General features: G+C 39.0%; 1 protein-coding gene across 6 annotated transcripts in view; it reads right to left on the bottom strand.

The window, feature by feature from the left end:
* EFCAB13 (EF-hand calcium binding domain 13) overlaps positions 1-24,171 on the bottom strand; it is a 117,358-nt gene that overhangs the window by 41,712 nt on the left and 51,475 nt on the right. For all 6 annotated transcript variants that reach the window (NM_152347.5, NM_001426587.1, NM_001426586.1 and 3 more), the window contains 5 exons: positions 21,698-21,835; positions 20,348-20,419; positions 8,021-8,164; positions 5,502-5,576; positions 3,624-3,767 (listed from right to left, as the gene is read on the bottom strand). In NM_152347.5, coding sequence (NP_689560.3) covers positions 3,624-3,767; positions 5,502-5,576; positions 8,021-8,164; positions 20,348-20,419; positions 21,698-21,835 — 573 coding nt within the window. The remainder of the gene's footprint in view (positions 1-3,623; positions 3,768-5,501; positions 5,577-8,020; positions 8,165-20,347; positions 20,420-21,697; positions 21,836-24,171) is intronic.

Here is a 24,171-nt window from a genome sequence, read left to right as displayed (position 1 = left end):
ATTTTAAGTTCTTTCTTATATTTCTAAGGTCTTATGGAGCTGTTTCAGCAGTTCACTTGGTCATTTCTCCCACTTTGGTCAGAGAAGCTCAACTTTAATATTTTATATATTAGGATACTGTATAAGATTTAATTTGGAAAAAAAGCATTCTGCTTTAACAATATCAAATATAAACAAAAATAACAAATCTCAAAATTTTGCAAACCACTGCATTAAAATAAGAACTAAATACCTTTGTACTAAGTGCACAATGTTAAAAGAAGAAATGATATGACAAATGGCGTACAGATACAGTTTTCAATATCATGTGTATATTTAGGCTTAAATTGTAAAATCTGCATTTTATATACTGTCTTTTGCTTCATAAGTACAGAATAATAAACACAGGCCTGGTGCGGTAGCTCATGCCTGTAATCCCAGCACTTAGGGAGGCCAAGGCCAGAAGATCACCTGAACTCAGGAGTTTGAGACCAGCCTGGACAACATGACAAAACCCCGTCTCTACAAAAAATTAGCCAGGCACAGTGCTGTGCACCTGTAGTCCCAGCTACTTGGGAGGCTGAGGCAGCAGAATCGCTTGAACCGGGAGGCAGAGGTTGCAGTGAGCCGAGATTGCGCCACTGCACTCCAGCCTGGGTGACAAAGCAAGACCTTGTCCCCTCCAAAGAAAGAATAATAAACACAATATATGAGTTTTTATTATCATAAAAAATACTTTTCTAGTTATTTTATTTATTTATTTATTTATTTTTATTGATTATTCTTGGGTGTTTCTCGCAGAGGGGGATTTGGCACGGTCATAGGACAATAGTGGAGGCAAGGTCAGCAGATAAACAAGTGAACAAAGGTCTCTGGTTTTCCTAGGCAGAGGACACTGCGGCCTTCCGCAGTGTTTGTGTCCCTGGGTACTTGAGATTAGGGAGTGGTGATGACTCTTAAGGAGCATGCTGCCTTCAAGCATCTGTTTAACAAAGCACATCTTGCACCGCCCTTAATCCATTTAACCCTGAGTGGACACAGCACATGATTCAGAGAGCACAGGGTTGGGGGTAAGGTCACAGATCAACAGGATAAGAATTTTTCTTAGTACAGAACAAAATGAAAAGTCTCCCATGTCTACCTCTTTCTACACAGACACGGCAACCATCCGATTTCTCAATCTTTTCCCCACCTTTCCCCCCTTTCTATTCCACAAAACCGCCATTGTCATCATGGCCCGTTCTCAATGAGCTGTTGGGTACACCTCCCAGACGGGGTGGTGGCCGGGCAGAGGGGCTCCTCACTTCCCAGTAGGGGCGGCCGGGCAGAGGCGCCCCTCACCTCCCGGGCGGGGTGGCTGGCCGGGCGGGGGGCTGACCCCCCCACCTCCCTCCCGGACGGGGCGGCTGGCCGGGCAGAGGGGCTCCTCACTTCCCAGTAGGGGCGGCTGGGCAGAGGCGCCCCTCACCTCCCAGACGGGGTGGCTGGCCAGGGGGGGGCTGACCCCCCCACCTCCCTCCCGGACGGGGCGGCTGGCCGGGCGGCGGGCTGACCCCCCAACCTCCCTCCCGGACGGAGCGGCTGGCCGGGCAGGGGCTGATCCCCCCACCTCCCTCCCGGACGGGGCGGCTGGCCGGGCGGGGGGCTGACCCCCCCACCTCCCTCCCGGACGGGGCGGCTGGCCTAGCGGGGGCTGACCCCCACCTCCCTCCCGGATGGGGTGGCTGCTGGGTGGAGACGCTCCTCACTTCCCAGACGGGGTGACTGCCGGGTGGAGGGGCTCTTCACTTCTCAGACGGGGCAGCTGCCGGGCGGAGGGGCTCCTCACTTCTCAGACGGGCGGTTGCCAGGCGGAGGGTCTCCTCACTTCTCAGACGGGGCGGCCGGGCAGAGACGCTCCTCACCTCCCAGATGGGGTCGCGGCCGGGTAGAGGCGCTCCTCACATCCCAGGCGGGGCGGCGGGGTAGAGGCTCTCCCCACATCTCAGACGATGGGCGGCCGGGCAGAGACGCTCCTCACTTCCTAGATAGGATGGCGGCCGGGAAGAGGCGCTCCTCACTTCCTAGATGGGATGGCGGCCGGGCAGAGATGCTCCTCACTTTCCAGACTGAGCAGCCAGGCAGAGGGGCTCCTCACGTCCCAGACGATGGGCGGCCAGGCAGAGACGCTCCTCACTTCCCAGACGGGGTGGCGGCCGGGCAGAGGCTGCAATCTCGGCACTTTGGGAGGCCAAGGCAGGCGGCTGGGAGGTGGAGGTTGTAGCGAGCCGAGATCATGCCACTGCACTCCAGCCTGGGCACCATTGAGCACTGAGTGAACCAGACTCCGTCTGCAATCCCGGCACCCCGGGAGGCCGAGGCTGGCGGATCACTCGCGGCTAGGAGCTGGAGACCAGCCCGGCCAACACAGCGAAACCCCGTCTCCACCAAAAAAATACGAAAACCAGTCAGGCGTGGCGGCGCGCGCCTGCAATTGCAGGCACTTGGCAGGCTGAGGCAGGAGAATCAGGCAAGGAGGTTGCAGTGAGCCGAGATGGCAGCAGTACAGTCCAGCTTCGGCTCGGCATGAGAGGGAAAGGGGGAGGGGGAGGGGGAGGGGGAGAGGGAGAGGGACGTTATTTTCATATCTCATAAAATAATACTTTGTTGGTCTGGTTCAAATAAATGCTATCTATTACTTTCTGTGGTACATGTTGCCTATAAATTCCATTAACTTTAACAAAAGAACCTGAAGCACTGCCACAGAGAAAAAGGGAAGAAAATCTATATTATTGGGTAGAAATTAGCCTTCTATTTTTCATCAACCCTTTTCACCTCAAATCTTCCAATAAAATAATCAATACATTTAAAGCCCAAAACTTCTAGCCTCAACTAAATGGAAGCTTAATGGATGAAAAGGATAATAAATGATTACAGAAAAAGACAGTTCTTTGACAAAGACCCCTGACAGCATGCTCGTGTTACTAATCTAGTTCTGTATAAACATTCCACATAAAAGAATATAAACGTACTAGGTACATTTTTAACTTCTAGGCACTAAGACTATGAGAGAGTAGAAATGTCTACCTGTAGGCTGGGTACTCTCCTTCCTGCATGTAGAATATGAGCAGTAAATGATGGAGACTTACTTTACATTTTTTAGTCTATAGTCTTTGTTATACAATACTTTTTTGAACTTTGTTTTTATTTTGTTTGCTTTTTTTTTTAACTTGCTAAATAGAGGTGGTAGCTATCAGCAGGTGTGTTTTTCTACCAAATTAAATAAAAGCCTATTTCAACAAAACAGTATGAATATTCCAAGTACTGTTATTATAAAATTTGAATAGATCTCTTAACATTTCCTAATCATGCCCTCTGTGTTCATTGGGATATGCCATTTTCCAGTAACATACCACACAACTTGAAGGTACTCAATGCATATTTGATCAATTTAGAGCAATAATAAATTACATAATAATATTTTTATATTGAATAGCCAAACAATCTGAACTTTCTTTATACAATATTTCCTAAATGCATATGTTGGCATTTCAATCATATTCGAACACTCCGTCTCGCCAAGTACAAGATACAATGACAAGAGTTGACAGAAAATAAAGTAATATCTTGGTATACTTTTTAATTTTAGTATTTGTAACACTCACCATCAACTGTCACTAGTTCCAATGCAGCTAGAAATTCATCCTTTTTTAAATTACTATTCAAACTAGACAGAGTATTCCACAGGTCAGAAACACTCATCGTCTCCTTTCTGAGATCGTCGAGGGTTTCAATAGCATCAGGCAATACTAAAGGGTAGATAAAACACAAGTTTTACGAATGCTTATGCAAGAAGTTAATACAGTAAACTGTCATCTGGAATAGACAAAAATTAAGGTTTTTATGGTTTAAAAGAATAATAAATATAGCATAAATGAATTGCCAACTTTCAAAAATGAAAACATAATAAAATATTTAGCCTAAAATATAATGTATTTTTGAGGATCTTGAAATATTTTAAGAACTTACAGTGCCCCAACCCTGAATAAACATTATAAATAATAATTTTTATTGAAGTTAGATTTTTAAAAGTGTGAATTCAGAAACATTTTCAATTGATAATACAATTAAGTAGCTTTTGTTCTATATCTCTCCCTAAAATTCTCCTCTGGCTCCTACTTCCTCTTCAATCTACCACTGTAGACAACAAAAAGAAGACTATTTCAATGCAAAATCCTGGAGCATCTTAAACAAAGGAGTGCAATTATCTTACTACAAATTTGTAAAAAGTCACTGTGCTGCTATATAGAGAATGGATTCTCAGGAAGATTAGACAGTTAGGAAGAGCCAGCAGATATTAGTGACCAAGATTTTGTTTATAACCTGTACAATCTTCTCAGCTGTGTGATCTTCTCCAGAAATGCTGTCAGACACAAGAAGGAAGGTAATTGGGTTCATTCGGGGTTGAGAGTTTTGCCAGATAGGTGCAACAAAAGTACACGGAGGCAAGACAGTCTAGGGTATTAGGTATATATAGATAAGATAATTTAAACTAAATAAGGAAGAAAAGTGAAAACAGGAGGAGACTGATGGATTAGGAGAAAGCGGAGGGGTAAAGGGATATAAGGTCCCAATGAGGTATATGGAACCAATAAAGAAGACATGCTTTGAGCAGTCTAATGAAGAAAAAAGAAAAAGAAGTAAACATAAACATGCAATATTAACAATGAGATATAAAATACAATGACAGAGATAGATTAGGTAATATACTATATAACTCTGTGCTAATAAAATTTTAAACTCCATAAAAGTGAATTTCCTAGGAAAAATGAAGTAACTGACAATCTCTTTCTCTGTATGATATACCCCTATATAGGAGACAAATTAAATCTTATATTGTAAGGTAAAAAGAGCTGCTACTTAAAATCTACTGTTACCTAACATGTAAGAACAAAATAATACGATGTTACTTTCAGCCCCAATTTTTAGAATGCATACTAACTTCACTCCATTAAAAATATACACATGTGACCTTACACTTCTTTATGGTGAACTTCTGAGTGGCAAAACTATCTTTTCCATATTACCACACTTACAGCTTAACATAAAGCCTAGTACATATTAATGGTTCATAAATGTTACTGAATACATTGGAAGATAGAAAGAAATGGGGACAGATGTAACCAGAAATTCTCATATTAGTACTCAGGCACTAGAAGGCATCATTTTTCCTAAGTTGAAAGACATTTTAAATCTTTTCCCCAAAACGAATGCTATACATGGTTCTAGCCCTCTATAAGTGCGCTAATGAAAAATAAAATTATGATAGCTTTTAATTCACTTGCATGTAGAAGACATTCTAGAATTAGGGGTCATTAGAGGAGATTAAAGCCAAATATAGCAGCAGGAAGCCAGGCATTTATTTGTCGGATGACCTGCAGGATAACTAGCTCTATAAGAGACTAAAAGAGTGTTTACGCTCTTCTAAAATCTGTCAAACTATTTGGTCCACAAAAAGCAGAAGACATGATATTCTTACGTACCTAATTTTTCAGAGAAGCATTCCGTGTTGCTCATCATAGTATCAATGAATTCTTTAAAATTCACTTTTTTTGTTTCTACAGGAAAAAGAAACACATTTTTTTGGCATCTTTTAAGTATTATTATGAAAAATATTGAATTATATAAAATACGTTATATATTCAGAAATATATAATTATATCCATCAGGTAATACTAACCAATAAAAATATATGGGTATAAAGGGGAAAAGCAAATCAATTTACAGTAGAGAAGTAAACGCTGAAAAACACCAAGAAAACGGGTCAAAATTCTTCCAGTCCCTCTCAAGCATACATAATATTTTTAACTTTTATTTATTTTTATTTTTATTTATTTATTTATTTATTTATTTATTTATTTATTTTTGAGAAAGAGTCTCACTCTGTCACCCACGCTAGAGTGCAGCGGTGCAATCTCAGCTCACTGCAACCTCCACCTCCCAGGTTCAAGCGATTCTCCCACCTCAGCCTCCCAAGCAGCTGGGATTACAGGCACGTCACCATGCCCAGTTAATTTTCATATTTTTAGGAGAGATGGGGTTTCCATTATATGAATACACAATGGTGTATACCACAATTTATGTATACATTCTGTGGATGAATATCATGCTGCTTTCTTTCTCCTTTTTTGCCATTAAGATCAGTGCTGCCATGTACATTCTTGAATATGCTTCCTGGTACTTAAGTCCAAGAGATTTTCCAGGATTTATAGCTAAGAATAGTATTTCTAAACCATGGGATATGCAAATGTTACAAGATACTACATATTATTTTCCAAAGTGGTTTTACCACTTTCACCATATTTACCAATACTTAGAATAACATATTTCTTACTTTTTCCCAATTTTAGTGGATATAAAAATGTATGTCATGAGCCAGGCATGGTGGCTTGTGCCTTTAGTCCCGGCTACTCAGGAAGATGAGGTGGGAGGATTGCTTGAGCCCAGGAGTTTGAGGCCAACAGATCCCTCTTTTTTTTTTAAGTATCTCATTATGACCTAAACTTTGCACTTCCCTAATTACTAAGGATGTTGAGAACCTTTTCATGTGATTATTAGCAACTTGTGTCTTCATGTGGAAAACTTCTATAATATCTGTTGAGTTGTTGGTTTGTAAAAGTTGCCTATATATTCTCTACGATAATCATCACTGTTGTAAGTGTTGCAAATAACCAGTGTGTGGCTTGTATTTCATTCTCTTTGTTGTATCTTTTAACAAAGAGAAGTTCTTAATGTATGCAAATTTATCAATCTTTTCTAGTTTCTTATTTCATATCTTAAAAAATCCTACGTCAGAAAATTTTTCTTCCCTTTGTTTTTTCTAAACCTTAGTTCTCACACCTGGAAATTATTGAATACGGAGTGAGACAGGGATCTAACTATTCTTTCCATTTGAATAAGTAATTTTTTCAGTACCATTTATTAAATGGTCCTTCTTTCCCCAGTTATCCACCACTTTATCATATATGTTGCCATGTATGTTTGTGGATATGTTTGGAAGTTCCTTATCTTGTCCTATTGGTAAATTTCTCTATCCCTTTGCCATTCTCACACTCTTTTAGTCACTACGGCTTTATAAGGAGATTTGATATCCAGGAGAGCAAGTTCCTCCCAACCCCCACCCCCCAACACACACATATCTCCACAAATGTTCTTCTTCAAGAGTGCTTTAGCTATTCTTAGCCTTTAGTCATTCATATAAATATTAGAATTAGCTTACAAAAAAGTCAGGGTTTTATTAGAATTGCTTTGAATAAATAAGTTAATTAGAGAATTGACAGTCTTGGGTCTCTGAATCTACAGACATGGGATACATTCTTATTTATCTAGATTTTAATGTCTTCACATAGTCTTATTTTCTCTATACAGGTATCATACAACTTAGACATATTCCTTTTTTTACTTTTTATTATGGAAAATGTTAAATATACACAAAATAGAATAGTGTAATATGTTCATATACTATCTCTAGCGTCAACAATTATCAACTCATAGACAATATTATTTCACCTATAACCCCAGTCTCCTGTCGAGCCACTCTCACCCTTTCCTTTAGAAGAGCTGCTGCTAGGTTATATGGGCACAGATACTCAAAAATGGTTTAACTTTATTGTGAATTGTAGGTTTTGACATAATAATGAATCCCTATTTGCCCCAATTTAATGCCTTTTGTCCTGACTTCTACCTTGTCAGACAGCAATACCACAAATTCTGCTTTCTTTTTGTCTGCATTTTTGCCTAGGAAAAAAAATCTTGAAAAGATTATTTAAAGAATAAATAAATAAAATTTTTTTTTAATTAAAAAGACTATTAATACTGGTTATTCCTAAATAACAGGCTTTTGAGTGTTTTCTTGTACTTTTGAGTATTTCCATACTTTTTGTATTAGTTTAATTTTAACTTTTTATAATAAAAAAATTAGTCATTTTTCTAAGAAAAAAATAACAAATTGACCCTCCTTCCAGATGTGTCAATGCAGTTTGCCTGAAAATATATCACTCACCACCAGCTTCAGTCAGTTCTGTGATCTTCTTAAATTCTGGCTTAGAAAGGTAAATACCAAAATTTTGAAGACAAGTATTTAGATCCTCATAATCCACATTTTTATCTTTAATTTTATCAATGGCTTTAATGACACCAGGCAACGCTAAAAATAAAGGAGTATGCTAATAAGTATTAAATATAAGTCAAAAATAAAACACCACTAACAAGATGAATTTTAGTTCTAACACTAAATTAACAAAAATATAAATCACTTCAGCAGTGTTATATACTAAAAGCATATCTAGAATCTTTAATAAAAAAAGTAAGTATCAAAATCAAAGTCAAAAATATATTATTCTAGGCCACACACAGTAGCTCACACCTGTAATTCAAACACTTTGAGAGGCCAGGCGGAAGAATCACTTGAGGCCAGGGATTTGAAAGCAGCTTGGGCAACAAAGCAAGACCCCTGTCTCCACAAAAAAATAAAAAATTAGCTGGGCATAGTGGTGTGCACCTGTATTCCTAGCTACTGGGGAGGCTGAGGTAGGAGAATTGCTTGAGCCCAGAAGATGAAGGCTGAGGTGAGCTATGATAGTACCACTGTGCTTCAACCTAGGCAACAGAGCAAGACCATCTCAAAAAATATATGATAGATAGATAGATAGACAGATAGATAGATAGACAGACAGACACACATACACATATATATTATTCTACTATACTATAGTCTCTGAACCTAAGGAAGCACCAATTTAATTGCACTGATAGTACCATAACTGAAATACATAGGAACAAAATATTATATAATTTCTCCATTTAATTCAACAATTTAAAATTCTTTGTACTCTGCTTCTCAGTAGCAGAAATACAAGCAGAAAATTTTCAATCCAAAATGATAAACTTGGATAATTTTGTGGCAATACATGGCTCAGTCTTTGGTAAATTCACCTTAGTTTATCTTTCTAAATATACATATTATTACTTAGGAATAACTATTCTACATCTCTTCTTATAATAACTTGGAATTTACTCTTCATAAATTTGGTCAGTATTTTCTCCACAAAATTTAAACTGATAAATTTTTACTGCAATTAAAGCATTCTTAAAGGAAATTACTTACAAATATACTGAACTCTTAAGAAGGTTGGCTAACTGGAATTCATCTGGTTTAATCAGAAAACTTCAAAGTAGAGGTGGCACCTTAAATCACTTGAAGAAAAAGATGAAAAAACACAGAGAGAGAGAGAGAAAGTGTGTGTGTGTGTGTGTGTATGAAAAAAACAGAGGTTGTGTATGCGTGTATATTGTGTGTGAATATTGTTTGTGTATATTGTGTTTGTATATTCTACCCCTCTCTCAATAAGTTTTATAATATACAAACACACACAATATATACACATACACACATATACACACACAAACTCTAGAACAAATTAAATAGGTTTTCTCTAATTGATTAGGATAGGTAAAGTAGGAAGCTAGGCAGCAGAGGGCATTAAAGCCATTACCAGGTATAAACTTTAAGTAGTCACTGGAAATCATTATGGCTTTCTAAACAAACAAGTGATGATCAAACTGATGTCTGAACTTGATGATTCTTAAAATGATTATTTAAAAGATGATTCTTTTAAAGAAGATGTGTAAATAGTACATACAGCAAGATACATGTCCCTATCTTGTGAAAGAAATTTTTAAGTGAACAAAATTCCCATTTAAAAATTAAAAGCTCTTTTTTAATTTTACAGGTAGAAACAGCAAGTCACCTTAAGCAAATTTGAGATAAAATGGAAAATCATTTGCAGCCACTGTAGGGGTAGAATAACAGAAACATTTTTCTTTCATCAGCTCAGCTTCTATACATCCAATACCACATGGAATGCAGAAATCTGGGGAAAGGGTGGACCATTTATACAAAAAGCCCAGGTAAAAGAAGAGAATGAGTTTCCAACTATTATTCTTGAGATTCAAAGTTAGCATAATCTGTCAGAGAGGGATAGGGTAAAAAAAAAAAAAAAAAAGATGAAATGAGGGGCCTGGTCACTGTATTGAGTCAGCAAGGGGAAAGATGGTTCTAAATTCATGAGGTGGCTGATAAGAACTCTATTCTCACCTAACCCTCTAAGACTTGGGATTGTAAAGTGGCTGCTGAGTGAATATAAAGAGCTGTACCTTTGAGAATCTTGTTTAGTTTGTCATGGGGCTTTCTTGCTTGAACTCACACAATGCTTCCTTGATGCAGGTCCATATAAAGAGCTATACGCTTGGGAGTACAGTGGCTCACACCTGCCATCTCAGCATTTTCAGAGGCCAAGCGGGGAATTGCTTGATACCAGGAGTTCAAGACCAGCCTGAGCAACACAGGGAGACCACATCTCTACAAAAGATTATTTTTAAAAATTAGCTGGGCTGAGTGGCATGTGCCTGTGATCCCAGCTACTTGGGAAGCTGAGGTGGAAGGATTATTTGAGCCCAGGAGGTCTAGGCTGCAGTGTGCAATGATTCAGCCATTGCACTCCAGCCTAGATGACAGAGCAAGACCCAGTCTCAAAAAAAAGATTATGAATGGCTAGTAAGCATGTGAAAATATGCTTGACATCATTACTCATTAAGGAAATGCAAAACTAAAACCACAGTGAAATACCATTTCACACCTATTATAACAGTTATAATAAAAAAAAAAATCAAGTGTTGAGAAGATGTGAAGAAACTAGAATCCTCATACATTGTTGGTGAAAAATGAAAATGTTATAAACACTTTGGAAAACAGTTTTGACAGTTTAAGAGTTAAACATAAATTCACCATATAGACTAAAATTCTTCTCTTAGGAATCTCCCCAAGAGAAATAAAAGTGTATGTCCAGAGGAAGACATGTATACAAATGTTAATTTCAGTATTATTCATAACAGCCCCAAACTGGAAATAATCAAATGTCCATGAGCCAATGGACCACCAACAAAGTAAAGAATATCCATACAATATAATATAGATTTATTTAGCCTTAAAAGGGGATGAACTACCGATACATACTACATAAATTAACCTTAGAAACCAGAAGTGTGATGTCACCAAAATGGCAGAACAGAAGCAATCTGGCTTCATTCTCCCCTACTGAAAACCAAAAACAAATATCCAGTGCCAAGATTAACACCAGTAATATCCCAGAACTCACATCTGAAGCTGAAATGACTCCTGGGGGCACAGAGAAGTGAAAATCTCCAAGCAGATGTTAAGAAAAAAGGACTTCTATATCCACAACACCCCTCCCCCAAACTGCCAGGTACCATGAGGAAAAGTCCCCCTGAAATCTTCATTTCTACAGTGGAAAAAGTGAGACCATGGCAGTCAGCCAGCTTCCCCACCATCTTGGGTTCCTTTACAGGAAAACCATTCCTGAATCAACCCAAAGGAAGTATTATGAGTGCCTATAGGCAATAAACCCCCTGAGGGCAGCTAGAAACTAAAAGAGAGGTGGGACCAGCAACCCCAGGCCACAAAATTCTGCTCTTTATCTCAGCCAAAGGAGACACCAAATCAGAGTGGCTGTTCAGCAGTACCACACTGTAGGAAGGCACATGCCATGGCTCCACTCAGCATGAACCTATAGACAGCCTTCCCACACAGCTAGAGTATCGCTTTTGAGACCTCCCCATTTGAGACATGCAGGACTCTGAACAGTTGTGAAGCCAAGGCAAATCTGGGTTTAAAATACAATCTAGTAACAAAAAGATGCAGTGATCTAGGGTTAAGGTGACTCAACAGGCAAAGTGCAAAAATCCTCTAAGCATATATACCCTGGGAAGACCAAAACAAGCTAGACAGCAAAGACTGGAATAAATAATTAATGGTTCAATGACAAGATATAGACATATGTCCACAAGGAAGAACAGCAAACTAGGAACCATGACCTCCTCAGATGGACAGAGTAAAGAACTAGTAACTGACCTTAATAAGACAGCAATGTGTGAGCTCTCAGATAAAGAATCCAAAATAGTGGTTTTAAGGAAATCTCATCAAAGACTGTAGAGACAAAGAAGGTCACCAAGTAATAATAAAGGGGCTGATCCAGTAAGAGGATATAACAATTATAAATATGTATGTACACAACAACAGAGGACCCAAATATATAAAGCAAACATTAATAGACCTAAAGGGAGAGAGAGACTGCAATGCAATCCTAGTAGAGGACTTCAACACACCATTCTCAGTAATGGACAGATGATCCAGAAAGAAAATCAACAAAGAAACATCAAAGTTAAACTACACTCTAGATCAAATGAACCTGACATTTGCAGAACATTTCATCCAACTGCTGCAAATACACATTATTCTCATCAGCACATCGAACATTCTCCAGGATAGGCCACACGTCAGGCCACAAAAGAAGTCTCAACAAATTTTAAAAAGTCAAAATCATATGAAGTACTTTTCTGATCCCGATATAATAAAACTAAAAATCAATAACTAAGGAATTTTGGAAACTATGCAAACACTGAGACTGCTGGCAAGATGGCTGAACAGGAACAGCTCCGGTCTGCAGCTCCCAGCAAGACCAACACAGAAGGCCGGTGATTTCTGCATTTCCAACTGACGTACCCTGCTCATCTCATTGGGACTGGTTGGGCAGTGGGTGCAGCCCATGGAGGGCGAGCAGAAGCAGGGTTGGGCATCGCCTCACCCACGAAGTGCAAGGAGCAGGCGGCGGCGGGGAGGGGGTGGGAGGGCTCCCTCCCCCAGCCAAGGGAAGCCTTGAGAGACTGTGCTATCTGGGCCAGATACTATGCTTTCCCCACGGTTTTTGCAATCCACAGACCAGGAGATTCCTTCGCGTGCCTACACCACCAGGGCCCTGGGTTTCAAGCATAAAACTGGGCGGCTGTTTGGGCTGACACCAAGCTAGCTGCAGGAGTTTTTTTTTGTACCCCAGAGGCACCTGGAATCCCAGCGAGACAGAGCTGTTCACTCCCCTGGAAAGGGGCTGAAGCCAGGGAGCCAAGTGGTCTCGCTCAGCGGGACCCACTCCCATGGAGCCCAGCAAGCTAAGAACCACTGGGTTAAAATTCTCGCTACCAGCACAGCAGTCTGAAGTCAAACTAGGAGGATCAAGCTTGGTGTGGGGAAGGGCATCTGCCATTACTGAGGCTTGTTTTCCCCTGACAGCGCTAAAAAGGCCTGGAAGTTCGGACTGGGTGGAGCTCAACACAGTGTGGCAAAGTGGCTGCAGCCAGACTGCCTCTCTAGATTCCTCTTCACTGGGAAGGGCATCTCTGAAAGAAAGGCACCAGCCCCAGTCAAGGGGTTATAGATAAAACTCCCATCTCACTGGACCAGCGTATCTGGGGGAAGGGGCGGCTGTGGGCACAACTTCAGCGGACTTTAAACGTTCCTGCCTGCTGACTCTGAAGAGAGCAGCAGATCCTGACAAGGAGGGCTCTCCCAGCACAGCGCTTGAGCTCTGCTAAGGGACAGACTGCCTCCTCAACTGGGTCCCTGACCTCCATACCTCCTGATGGGGAGAGACCTCCCAACAGCGATTGTCAGACACCTCATGCAGGAGAGCTCTGGCTGGCATCAGCCTGGTGCCCCTCTGGGACAAAGCTTCCAGAAGAAGGAGCAACAGCAATCTTTGCTGTTCTGCAGCCTACACTAGTAATACCCAGGCACATAAGGTCTGGAATGGACCTCCAGCAAACTGCAGCAGACCTGCAGAAGACGGGCATGACTGTTAGAAGAAAAAGTAACAAACAGAAAGCAGTAACATCATCAACATAAGGAACCCCCATACAGAAACACCATCCAAAGATCAAAGGTAGGTAAATCCATAAAGATGAGGACAAACCAGCACAAAAACGCTGAAAATTCCAAAAACCAGAATGCCTCTTCTCCTCCAAATGATTGCAACTCCTCTCTAGCAAGGGCACAAAACTAGACAGAGAATGAGTTTGATGATTTGACAGACGTAGGCTTCAGAAGGTGGGTAATAACAAACTCCTCTGAGCTAAAGGAGCATGTTCTAACCCAATGCAAAGAAGCTAAGAACCCTGACAAAAGGTTACAGGAACTGCTAATAGAACAACCAATTTAGAGAAGAACATAAATGACCTGATGGGGCTGAAAAACACGGCACAAGAACTTCATGAAGCATACACAAGTATCAATAGCTGAATCAATCAAGCAGAAGAAAGGATATCAGAGATTGAAGTTCAACTTACTGAAATAAGACATGAAGACAGGATTAGAGACAAAAGATTGAAAAGGAATGAACGAAGCCTCCAAGAAATATGGGACTATGTGAAAAGACCAAACCTACGATTGATTAGGGTCCCTGAAAGTGACAGGGGAGAATGGAACCAAATTGGAAAACACACTTCAGGATATTATCTGGGAGAACTTCCCCAATCTAGCAAGACAGGGCAACATTCAAATTCAGGAAATACAGAGAATACCACTAAGATACTCCTTGAGAAGAGCAACCCTAAGGCACAAAATCATCAGACTCTCCACGGTTGAAATGGAGGAATAAAAGTTGGCTGAGCGTGGTGGCTCACGCCTGTAATTCCAGCACTTTGGGAGCCCGAGGCGGGCGGATCACAAGGTCAGGAGATCGAGACCATCCTGGCTAACACGGTGAAACCCCATCTCTACTAAAAAAATACAAAAAATTGGCCAGGCGTGGTGGTGGGCGCCTGTAGTCCCAGCTACGTGGGAGGCTGAGGCAGGAGAATGGCGTGAACCCAGGAGGCGGAGCTTGCAGTGAGCGGAGATGTGCCACTGCACTCCAGCCTGGGCAACAGAGCGAGACTCCTTCTCAATAAAAAAAAAAAAAGTTAAGGGCAGCCAGAGAGAGAGGTCAGGTTACCTACAAAGGGAAGCCCATCAGACTAACAGCAGATCTCTCTGCAGAAAACCTACAAGCCAAAAGAGAGTGGGGGCCAATATTCAACATTCTTAAAGAAAAGAATTTTCTAACTGGAATTTCATATCCAGCCAAACTAAGTTTTATAAGTGAAGGAGAAATAAAATCCTTACATACAAGCAAACGCTGAGGGATTTTGTCAACACCAGGCCTGCCTTGCAAGAGCTCCTGAAGGAAGCACTAAATATTAAGAAGGGAAAAACTTTCTTAATATAAGAAAAACTTTCTTAATACCAGCCACTGCAAAAAAAAAAAACAGTCGTATATAAAGACCAATCACACTATGAAGAAACTGCATCAACTAATGTTCAAAATAACCAGCTAGCATCATGATGACAGGATGAAATTAACATAGAACAATATTAACCTTAAATGTGAAGGGGCTAAATGCCCCAATTAAAAGACACAGACTGGCAAATTAAATGTATTCAGGAGACCCATCTCACATGCAAAGACACACATAGGCTCAAAATAAAGGGATGGGGAACTATTCACCAAGCAAATGGAAAGCAAAAAAAAAAAAACAAAAAAAAAAAACTGGGGGTTGCAATCCTAGTCTGTGATAAAACAGCCCTTAAACCAACAAAGATCAAAAAAGACAAAGAAGGGATTAATGCAACAAGAAGAGCTAACTATCCTAAATATATATGCACCCAATGCAGGAGTACCCCGATTCATAAAACAAGTTCTTTGAGACGTACAAAGATACTTAGACTCCCACACAATGAAAGTGAGAGAATTTCACACCCCACTATCAATAGTCGACAGCTCAAGGAAACAAAAAATTAATAAGGATTTTCAGGACTTGAACTCAGCTCTAGATTAAGCAGACCTAATAGACACCTACAGAACTCTCCACCCCCAACCAACAATATACATTCTTCTCAGCACTTCATCGCACTTATTCTAAAATTGACCACCCCCAATCAACAGAATATGCACTCTTCTCAGCACTACATCGCACTTATTCTAAAATTGACCACATAATTGGAAGCAAAATACTCCTCAGCAAATGCAAAAGAATGGAAATCACAACAGTCTCTCAGACCACAGTGCAATCAAATTAGAACTCAGGATTAAGAAACTCACTCAAAACCAAACAGCTACATGGAAACTGAACAACCTGCTCCTGAATGACTACTGGGTAAATAATGAAATGAAGGCAGAAATAAATAAGTTACTTGAAACCAATGAGAACAAAGACACAATGTACCAGAATCTCTGGGATGCAGCTAAAGCAGTGTTTAGAGGGAAATTTATAGCACTAAATGCCCACAGGAGAAGGCAGGAAAGATCTAAAATCGACACCCTAACATCACAATTAAAAGAACTAGAGAAGCAAGAGCAAACAAATTCAAATGCTATCAGAAAACAAGAAATAACTAAGATCAGAGAAAAACAGAAAGAGATAGAGACATGAAGAGTACTTCAAAAAATCAATGAATCTGGAAGCTGGTTTTTTGAAATGATTAACAAAATAGACTGCTAGCAAGACTAATAAAGAAGAAAAGAGAAAAGAATCAAATAGACACAATAAAAAATGATAAAGGGGATATCAGCACTGACCCCATAGAAATACAAACTACCATCAGAGAATACTATAAGCACCTCTACACAAATAAACTAGAAAATCTAGAAGAAATGGATAAATTCCTGGACACATACACCCTCCCAAGGCTAAACCAGGAAGAAGTCGAATCCCTGAATAGACCAATAACAGGTTCTGAAATTGAGACAGTAATTAATAACCTACCAACCAAAAAAAGCCCAGGACCAGATGGATTCAGAGTTAAATTCTACCAGAGGTACAAGGAGGGGCTGGTAGCATTCCTTCTGAAACTATTCCAAACAACAGAAAAGGGGGGACTCCGCTCTAACTCATTTTATGAGGCCAGCATCACCCTGATACCAAAACCAGGCAGAAACACAACAAAAAAAGAAAATTTGGGGCCAATATTTCTTATGAACATTGATGTGAAAATCTCAATAAAATACTGGCAAATTGAATCCAGCCACACATCAAAAAGCTTATCATCACATAAACAGAACCAATGACAAAAACCACATGATTATCTCAATAGATGCAGAAAAAGCCTTCAATAAAATTAAGCACCCCTTCATGCTAAAAACTCTCAATAAACTAGGTATTGATGGAACACATATCAAAATAATAAGAGCTATTTATGACAAACCCATAGCCAATATCATACTGAATGGACAAAAGCTGGAAGGATTCCTTTTGACAACCGGCACAAGACAAGGATGCCCTCTCTCACCACTCCTATTCAACATAGTATTGGAAGTTCTCCCCACAGCAATCAGGCAAGAGAAAGAAATAAAGCGTATTCACATAGGAAGAGAGGAAGTCCAATTGCCTCTGTTTGCAGATGACATGATTGTATATCTAGAAAACCCCATCGTCTCAGCCCAAAATCTCCTTAAGCTGATAAACAACTTCAGCAAGGTCTCAGGATACAAAATCAATGTGCAAAAATCACAAGCATTCCTATACATCGAAAACGGGCAGGCAGAGAGCCAAATCATGAGTGAACTCCCATTTACAGTTGCTACAAAGAGAATAAAATACCTAGGAATACAACTTACAAGGGATGTGAAGGACCTCTTCAAGGAGAACTGCAAACCACTGCTCAAGAAAATAAGAGAGGACACAAACAAATGTAAAAAAATTCCATGTTCATGGATAGGAATGATCAATATCATGAAAATGGCCATCTTGCCCAAAGTAATTTATAGATTCAGTGCTATCCCCATCAAGCTACCATTGACTTTCTTCACAGAATTAAAAAACTACTTTAAATTTCATATGGAACCAAAAAAGAGCCTGTATAGCCAAGACAATCCTAAGCAAAAAGAAGAAAGCTAGAGGTATCACGCTACCTGACTTAAAACTATACTAAAAGGCTACAGTAATCAAAACAGCAAACAGCATGGTACTGGTACCAGAACAGATATATAGACCCATGGAACAGAACAGAGGTCTCAAATAGCACCACACAGCTACAACCATCTGATCTCTGGCAAACCTGACAGAAACAAGCAATGGGGAAATGATTCCCTATTTAATAAATGGTGTTGGGAAAACTGGCTACCCATATGCAGAAAACTGAAATTGGAACCCTTCCTTACACCTAATAGAAAATATAACTCAAGATGGATTAAATACTTAAATGTAAGATCTAAAACCATAAAAACCCTAGAAGAAAACCTAGGCAATACCATTCAGGACATAGGCATGGGCAAAGACTTTATGACTAAAACACCAAAAGCAATGGCAACAAAAGCCAAAATTGACAAATGGGATCTAATTAAACTAAAGAACTTCTGCACGCAAAAGAAACTATCATCAGAGTGAACAGGAAACCTACAGAATGGGAGAAAATTTTTGCAACCTATCCACCTGACAAAGGGCTGATATTCAGAATCTACAAAGCACTTAAACAAATTTACAAGAAAAAAAAACCCATCAAAAAGTGGGTGAAGGATATGAACAGACGCTTCTCAAAAGAAGACATTTAACTTTGGGAGGCTGATGTGGGCAGATCACAAGGTCAGGAGATCAAGACCATCCTGGCAAACATGGTGAAAACCTGTCTCTACTAAAAATACAAAAAATTAGCCAGGCATGGTGGTACGTACCTGTAGTCCCAGCTACTCAAGAGGCTGAGGCAGGAAAATCACTTGAACCCAGGAGGCAAAGGTTGCAGTGAGCCAAGACCGTGCCACTGCACTCCAGCCTAGGTGACAGAGTGAGACTTTGTCTCAAAAAAAAAAAAAAAAAAAAGAAGAAGCAATTTATGCGGCCAACAAAGATGAAAAGAAAGCTCATCATCACTGGTCATTAGAGAAATGCAAATCAAAACCACAATGAGATACCATCTCATGCCAGTTAGAATGGCGATCATTAAAAAGTCAGGAAACAACAGATGCTGAAGAGGATGTGGAGAAATAGGAACGCTTTTACACTGTTGGTGGGAATGTAAATTAATTCAACCATTGTGGAAGAAGTGTGGCGATTCCTCAAGGATTTAGAACCAGAAATACCATTTGACCCAACAATCCCATTACTGGGTATATACCCAAAGGATTATAAATCATTCTACTATAAAGACACATGCACATGTATGTTTATTGCAGTGCTGTTCACAATAGCAAAGACTTGGAACCAACCCAAATGCCCATCAATGATAGACTGGATAAAGAAAATGTGGCACATATACACCATGGACTACTATGCAGCCATAACAAAGAATGAGTTCCTGTCCTTTGCAGGGACATGGATGAAGCTGGAAACCATCATCCTCAGCAAACTAACGCAGGAACAGAAAACCAAACACCACATGTTCTCACTCATAAGTGGGAGTTGAACAATGAGAACACATGGACACAGGGAGGGGAACATCACACACTGGGGCCTGTCAGGGGGTAGGGGGCTAGTAGGGGGATAGCATTAGGAGAAATACCTAATGTAGATGATGGGTTGAAGGGTGCAGCAAACCACCATAGCATGTGTATACCTATGTAACAAACCTGCACGTTCTGCACATGTATCCCAGAACTTAAAGTATAATAAAATAGTCTATTTGCTTACAAACTGAACATAAAGGAACACTTTTTAAAAGAAATCGACTTGCTAATATTGTCTTCAATAAATCCAGACACTTCACCACTTACATCCATCAGAAATGACAAATGATAATGTAGCTTTTAACATAAGTCTCTTCATTTAAGTATAAAAGGCAATCTTGCTTTGGACTAATCTTTCCTTATCTGGGGAATTTTTTGGAAAGAGACAAAAAGCTTATCTTTCGTTTTTAGCATATGTATAAACAGAACAAAATAAAAACAGCAAGCCTTAATATCTTTCGTTTCTCATTTTAATCTTGCTAAAAAATATTTAATCATTTGTATAAAAATATTGCAAGCAACAAAAGCGTATTGTGGTAATAGTTCTACAACTCAATAAATTTAATAAAAATCAGTGGATGAGTGAATTTTATATACATAAATTATACCTTGATAAAGCTGTTTTTAAAAGTTCTAAATCAAAGGTGAACCAAACCAGTATTTCATTCAAACAAGTCCATGGGAAAAAAAAAAACAAACCATATCACCCATCAATTCCTAATCAATGTTGCTAATTACCTATTTGATCTCCGCATTATCATTATTACCATACATTTATGGCTCACTTTTCAGTTTGCAAAATTCACGTGACAACTCTGTGAGGTAAACAAGTTAGCTATTATTACTCTGATATAGCAAGTTTTTAAAAACTGGCAACTGACTTGCCTAAGAGTCACAGGACTATTAAGTATCCATCCAAAAGCAAGCCCAGTTCTGTTGAACCTAATTCTTCTCAACACACTGCTCTTCCCTCTAAATCATTTTAAAACAAATTTCCTACCTACCATTGCATTCAGGAAAACTTCGCTCCTTGGCGAGAGCATTTACAAAGTCATCTAACTCCACCATTCCATTCTCTGTTTTTAAAAAGAGTTTAGATTATACATTCTGGTGTATTTTTGCATAAAGGCAAATTTACATTTTAACACAACTATTTTTAAAATTTACTTGATCCTTCATTTCATCATCCTATTTCTCCTTCATATCATGTCTCATAATTCTTTCTAGATTAAGTCAGTTCATTTGAACAATTATTGAGAGCATATTAGTGCCAAGAACCATGCTAGGCACCGAGAATACAAAAATAAGAAAGACACAGTCCTTGCTTTCTCAATATCTATTACATGCAAAGGACTGAGTTAGATACTAATTTCTTAACAGATCTAGGAAAAAAGAAAGATGTCCATATAGATAGACCATGAGAGAGTTAAGGAGTCTATTTCATACCATCTTGAAAACCCACTCAATATACTATCCATTAAGACACCTTAACAATACTAACCAGCCCTGATAAAACCAAGGATTCCCATCTCTATCTCCCTAGTATCCATGTGGTCCAATGTTTTACCTATTTTTAGATATAAACCCTCAGAGTGATCATGTCAATCCTGATAAGCAGCAAAAAGGGCTCAATAATTTTAGTGCCACCCACTCTTTATATAATTTTTAATTGAATCTTCTTTCAGATTTGCCTTAGCTAAAAAATTGTGCCCAGATTCTGAGGATTCACTTCTAATGTTATTCTCCAATCAGTCTTTCCCCAAAATGTCACCTCTTTCCTCTCCTCAATTGAACTTCTGTTGTGGAAAATGCTTAGTTACTGATAAAAATAACTTCCCTAGTATAAAAACCCTTCCTAGAAACTTAAACTCTGCCTTTAACTTAGGCTAGTGACTGGGATATGCCACTCAACATCTAAATGTTAACTGCTAAGCATACCTGGCTCTAAATTCCCCCGTATTTTGTAATCTCCAATTATTAATCTTTGGATCCTTGGGCTATTTGTGCAGATATATCCATACCCCTTAGATATTGTGGTCTTGCCATCTGAACCTCGCTACAACTGGATCAGTCTCCCCAGCACTACCCTACTATTAATAGGCACAGATAGGGATAGTGATGAAGAGCTTTACTGAAATGATCTGGAAATACGAAAGGCTCCAAACCAATCCATTTGGTCAGAACTTAAAGGAATTTTTTTTTACTATTTTCCATTTTTATATCTGAATTTTCTTTAGAATGACCCATTCTGTCCCATTCCTAATTTCTAATTGAGAGGAATTCCTCCAATATTTAATACTATCCGATAAAAATATCTAACTTTCTCAGAAACTTCAGTGTTATCAGTCTCTCACCATTTCTACTAGTGTCTGTCACAATCTTCTGGAATTCTTCATCTAATAAATTAATTCCTGTTGAAGGCAAAATAGACTGAAGTTCTTCTGCTGCAATGTAATTTTCTTGAAGTTTACTGATAGCTTCACAGAAGTTTTCTAAATACACAAAATGTAGAGAACTATTAGGCAACAGAATTTATGTGTCAAAAGCAATAATACTCAAAATCTTTAGAAATTAGAGAACAAGTTTTATCTATTTTATATTACCTTATAGATTTTATAAGACTGCTTTTCTCTCCATATCTGTTTATATTACATTATATTTAATCTTTCTCTTACAGCTCAAACACAGAACCGTCCTAACATTCTATAAACATTTATAATCTACTTGTTTGGGGGAACAGCCTGTTCCAGTGGCCCAGCCAATGCTGCTTGCTTCTGATTAAAATAAAATTAATGGGGCCAGGTATGGTGGCTCCTGCCTATAATCACGGCACTTCGGGAAGCCAAGGCAGGTGGGTCATTGGAGGTCAAGAGTTTGAGACCGGCCTGGCCAACATGGTGAAACCCTGTCTCTACTAAAAATACAAAAATTAGCTGGGTGTGATGGTGCATGTGTGTAGTCCCAGCTACTCAAGAGGCTGAGGCAGAAGGATCACTTGAACCCGGGAGGCAGAGGTCGCAGTGCACTGAGATCGCACCACTGCATTCCAGCCTGAGTGTGTGTGTGTGTGTTTGTATGTGTATGTGTGTGTGTAAAATTAATGAGTCCAAGAAATAAAAATACCGAAGTGTTTTGTTTAAATTGAAGAATTCCAAGCAAAAATGTAGAGTTCTTCACCCTCCCATTAATTTACTCTACCATGTTTTCAGTTCATAACCTTCAAAAAATAAAATCTTAGAAGCAAATACACATAGACGTCATGTGCTTCTTACTGATGCACTGAGATGGGTACAATATCACTTCTGAGGTAATCTGACCAAAAATGCATAACCTGAATTTATTTGTGAAGGAATAAAAGAAAAATCCAAAATGAAGAGTATTATACAAGACAACTAGTCAATAGTCTTCAAAGTGTCAAGGTCATGAAAAATTGAGGAAGCATCCCAGACTGAAGGGGACTAAAGAAAAGTGACAACTAAATGTAATGGGTGATTCTGGATTAGATCCTGGAATTGAAAAAGAACATTCATGGAACAACTGACAAATTTGAATAAGGTCTGTAGATCAGTAACAGTATTGCATCAGTGTTAATCTCCTGGTTTAGATCATGTCCTAATGGAAATGTTTGTACTATTTTTGTGACTCTTAAGAATGTGAAATTATTTAAAAATGAAAAGTTAGAATTTTTTAATGTAAATCATACAGGCAGTCATATTCCATAAAAGTCCAATTACCATTAATTTGTTTTGGGAAGTTATGCCAGATAAACTATTTCATACTTCTCTATATTCAGAACATTAAGTATGGCTGTGGTAGATGACATCATTTTATTTTAGTGACACGAGAAAGGTAGATATCACTTTCTTCTGACAGCCTCTTCTACCCATGTCTGTCTGCTGTTTCATTATTCCTTTAACCAAGGTTTTAATTCTTTTGAAATAAAAATAACTCTCAGAAATTCAAATGAGGCACAAAGTAGCAGCAGTGCATTGGTAAAGGAATCAGAATCAGGATGATAATCACTGTGCCTCCTTAATAGATCACATTCCTTTTTTCCATTGAGTTATTTGAATTATGCACTAATGTATGAATCACAAAATTTTCACTAAACAATCATTTTATCTATTACATTAAATACTAAATGTGATATGACAGTAAGTTTTTAAAAGAGAATAAATATGACTTAAGTAACTTCAGCAGAGGACTACAGGAAGAAATCTTTAACTGGGTTCCACACACACTGCTTCTATGATGAAAGTAATACAAGGAGAGAAAATATATTGGTTGGGAAACCATTGCTCATCTTTGAGAAAAATCATAAAGACTTGGAGCCCTAGATATATAGTATTATTTTTTCCTGATATTCTCCTTCCATAAGAGATAATACCTGAAGTACTATGAATATTATATATTTAAATTACAGCACTCTAAGCAAAAATTTCACACAGATTTCCTACTTGTTTAAATGTTTAATAAATTACAAAATAAACGTTTCCAAAAGAAACCAGGCCTTCTACTTTCTAGGAAATATTAATGATTGCAATTAATCACTGAATAAGTTTCTCAGGAAAAGTTAAGCTCCTCCCTAAAGAGGGCATCTGGAAAGGAATTATCATCAAAATCACAATATTATATCCATTAGTCTATGTGTCAGAAGTGGCAGGCCGGACGTGGTGGCTCATGCCTGTAATCGCAGATCCTTGGGAGGCCAAGACGGGAGCACTACTTGGGGCCAGGAGTTCAAGACCAGCCTTGGGAACATTATGGGACCCCCGTCTCTATGAAAAAAAAAAAAAGTTAGCTGGGTGTGGTGGCATGTTCCTATGCT

The sequence above is a fragment of the Homo sapiens genome, chromosome 17 (genome assembly GCF_000001405.40).
Source record: "Homo sapiens chromosome 17, GRCh38.p14 Primary Assembly".
In the NCBI taxonomy this organism is placed as follows: domain Eukaryota; kingdom Metazoa; phylum Chordata; class Mammalia; order Primates; family Hominidae; genus Homo; species Homo sapiens.
The sequence above is the reverse complement of the archived record's forward strand: the minus strand, read 5'-3'. Positions and strand labels throughout refer to the sequence as shown.